General features: G+C 37.7%; 1 annotated feature.

Moving 5' to 3' along the window:
* Positions 1,704–2,903: an enhancer, noted in NCBI's record as "P300/CBP strongly-dependent group 1 enhancer chrX:4969484-4970683 (GRCh37/hg19 assembly coordinates)". NCBI's record gives its function as "activates an origin of replication core promoter dependent on BRD2, BRD4, P300/CBP, MED14 and CDK7 cofactors, with strong dependence on P300/CBP, by STARR-seq in HCT116 cells {active_cell/tissue: HCT116}" and the evidence as "EXISTENCE:reporter gene assay evidence [ECO:0000049][PMID:35650434]".

Genomic DNA, 4,077 nt, shown 5'->3' with positions numbered 1-4,077 from the left:
TTTGCAAAACCTCATGTTTCCATAAACGTGTTTACCTACAACAACAGCAGAGACCTGAAACCTCCACATCTAGAAAATGGCACTTTGGTTTAGCCAACCTGGAGATGTAACCCACCTTCCTATTTGGAGATCTGTCCATTCCTTCAGGCTGTTTATCTAATTCTCTGCATCTAACAGTCTTTTCCATCTTCTACATATCATATTGCTATTCGTCTGCCTATGTATCCTGTCAATCTATTTGTTCATCTATCTCTATCTACCTAGCTATCTAGCTATCTACCTGTCATCTACCAAGTGAATCTGAATCTATCCATTCAACCATCCAACCAGCCACTCTATCTATCTATCTATCTATCATCTATCCATCATCTATCTGAAGCTATCTGTCCATCTATATTCCAAATGTATTTATACTTACTATACAAATCTATTATTTATCCTAATCTGTCTATCCAAATCTATCTATCCATCTATTTCATCTGTTCCTTTCTGTCATTTATCCAGCTATCTACTCATCTATCTTATGTATCTATCTATCTATCTATCTATCTATCTATCTATCTATCTATCTGATCTATCACCATCTATCATCGATTAATCTACCTATCTACCCATCTATTTATGTTTCTATCTATCCATTTTCTATCTATTAATCTGTCATATCTATACATCTATCTATTGATCTGTCTTCTATCTATCCACCTTATCTATCTACCTATCTATCGATCTATCAATCTATCTATTAATTATCTATCTACCCATGGCATCTATCTACTCATGTATATAAATACATATCATCTCTTTAGTGTATGTAGTTCTATCGATATCTGTCTAAGTGGACCAGCTCAAGTGGAACTTTCTCTATGAAGCTTCAGTTAGTTATAGCAAAGTAATATAAGAAAAAAACAAAGAAATCATGATTCTGGTGTTCAATTTTCTCTAGTGCTTTTGACTCTCGCCTCTGTGAAAATACATATATTAATATTCATTGGTTCTTTGAGAACTTATGTCTTTCCATTGATATTCTTGATATACTAAAATTTTGAAATCATCTCAAAATTGTGATTCTAAATGAAGTCATTATCTTCTAAACAAGCTATTTTCCTTATATTTACTGTTTGTTTTTTAATGCTATACTCATGTTCCTAGTAATTCATGAATAAAATATGAACATTTAAAACTTGGCCACTTTTTACAACCTATCCATCAAAAAGACTTTAAAGTGTCTTTCAAATCTCTCCTTTCATTTTTATATCTGCTTTAATTTAGACACTTGATGCTTATTGTCTATTCTCCCACAACAGTCTTCATTCTTTCTCACCTTAAATACTTTCTTCATGCTATTAGGACTTTAACATTCCTAAAATAATTTTTTTTTGTAACATCATTGCCTCTTGGTCAAAGTTATTCAATGTGTTCCTGTTATTCAAAAACAGAATTTATCCTTATGTGGATCCAGACTATTTTTCCAATCTTGGTGTTGCTAATTAATGAAGGTTATAGAACTTAATTGGTATGTGTATAGTTTCTCATAATAGCTCTTCTATTAGTTGGAACATAGCTTCTTCAGCACTACTCACGCCACATTGGGAGTCATGTATCCTCTTTGTTATTGGTTACTTATTCTTTTAATATTTGTAATGACAAGTCAGGAAGTAGGATGGCTATCGGCTCTATCCCAGAAGCCTGAGAACATTAATAAACTCATCAGTTTATACCATTTGGGGTGAAGAAATGTTATCTTTGACTCTATGTGCTAGGATGGTGAAAAAAAGTTTTGGAAACCTTAAGTTAGGAATAGTTTTTACTAATTAGCAGTTGCCAAGAACACATGCCTTAAATAAAATAAGAGGACTTTTATTTCTTATGCAAGCTTTCAAGACTTAGGTGGGAGATTCATGGCATTGGAATCCAGCTTTCTCCTGTATTGCTGTTCAGCTTTAACTTGAGCTGTTGAGAAAGAAAAGTTAAGTAGTTAGGGTGGGTCCTTGGTAAAACTCCTTTAAGCAGAGAAACAGCCTGTAAAACCAGGCTTCAGGCACAGATAAGGAAACTTGCACAAACCTCTGGCCCACGGAGATAAAGGAATGAGGCCCAACATAGAAATGCCTTTGTTCTTTGTGCTTAAGACGTGCCCCCAGCTACACTGATAAGGAAAAAAGATGCAACATAGAAATGCCTTTGTTCTTTTTATAACCAGCAGGCTTACAGGAAATAGTCTCTTCTCCTTCTGTGGGCATATACACAGCAGTTCCAGTGGGTTCCGGTGGGCACTTTCCTTTCCTTTTTTGAACATGCTTTGGATTGTGAGACAAGCCTCCATGAATCATCACTTTAGCATCTGATTGGTCCTGGGCCAAGTTCCTGCTAAGCTTTCACTTCAGCTCCTGATTTGTCCCGGGCCAAGGTCCCAGGCCAAGCTGAGTAGCCTCTATGTGTCATCACTTCAACTGCTGATTACTCCCGGGCCAAGCTGAGTAATGCCTTCTCCAAGACCAATCAACACATTCCTTACCTTCCCAGTCCATAAAAACCCCAGACCCCAGCCAGGCGTGGTGGCTCACCCCTGTAATCCCAGCACTTTGGGAGGTCAAGGTGGGCGGATCACGAGGTCAAGAGATTGGGACCAGCCTGGTCAAACATGGTGAAACCCCGTCACTACCAAAAATACAAAAATTAGCCAGGCATGGTGGCGTGCACCTGTAATCCCAGCTACTCAGGAGGCTGAGGCAGGAGAATCGCTTGAACCCAGGAGGCGGAGGTTGCAGTGAGCCAAGATTGTGCCACTGCACTCTAGCCTGTGTGACAGAGTGAGATTCCATCTCAAAAAAAAAATCCCAGACCACAGCCTCATAGTGGGCAACCCACTCAGGACCCCCTCTCTGCTGTGGAGAGCTTTCTTCTTTTCCTCATTAAACTTTTGTCCAACCTCACCCTTTGTGTCCACACTTCTTAATTTTCTTGGCCGTGAGACAAAGAACTCAGGGTGATACCTCATGAGAGACTGCTGCATTGCGGTGCATTGGCAAAACTGCAACACTGTGATTGTCTTCATGCATGATGTAAAATGCTCGCTAACATGCCTATATTCTTGCCAAGAAGGAATTGGCTGATACAGAGTGGATTGCACACAGAAGCCTTCAAGAGCTTCCCTGGGGCTTCACACAGCCTTTCTGCCAGTATCTTATTGACCAGAAACTACCCATACTAAGCTTCCAGGGCACACGCACACACAAAACAGTCTCTATTTTCAGTAGCTTTGTGTCTAACTAAAGACACAGAAGATTTTTTGGTATTGTTTTGCTCTGTTTTCCTAAATTAAAAAGTCAGAGGAAACAACTGAACTTCTCTATCCCAACTATCAATCACCCACAGTAAAATACATGGTGGATGAAATTCATACTTGAAGAATCCAAGGATTTAAAATGTTGGATTTTAGACCAGTATTGGTTAGAGTTCATTATACTGAAAGTAAGAGTAAAAAGTGTTTTTTCTTTTTAGAAGTCATAGAACTATCTCTTTTTAAGAAAATGGACTTCGATATAAATGTTGATGTATTAAAAAGTAAAGTAAAAGATTGTATGCCTCCATATGCAATCTCTGGGAGGTTGTGAAGCCAACAGTAGGTATTACCATGGGAAAAAGATTGCTAGAGCCCTTTAGAGTCTATTTATGTCATACTAATTTGGCTTTGCTCATGGTACTTGTGCATGCACAGGTAGTGTTGGAGGAATGATAATCGGATGGTGTGGCTTGCACTCAATGCAGACTTCCAAGACTGTACTGGAATACAGATATAAAATGTAAGAACAAATTGAAGGCCCCAAAAATATCTTGTGACACAAACAGAAGCCAATACAGCTGCATATCAATATTAATATTCCCCTATGAATTTTTAAAAAGGTAGCCATAGAAATAGAATGGAATATAACCATGTTTCACCATGGGATATTGTATTGCTTCCATTTTCTTAACATCAGATTGATCAAAATGCTATATTTTGGTTTAGTGAATCTATGATTACACAGTTCCTTAAAAAAAATTAAAACCTTGCTTTCTAGTAGACCTTTAAAGTTG

Source organism: Homo sapiens, chromosome X (genome assembly GCF_000001405.40).
Source record: "Homo sapiens chromosome X, GRCh38.p14 Primary Assembly".
Classification (NCBI taxonomy): Eukaryota; Metazoa; Chordata; class Mammalia; order Primates; family Hominidae; genus Homo; species Homo sapiens.
Note: the sequence above shows the minus strand (reverse complement) of the source record. Positions and strands in the feature narration are given on the sequence as shown.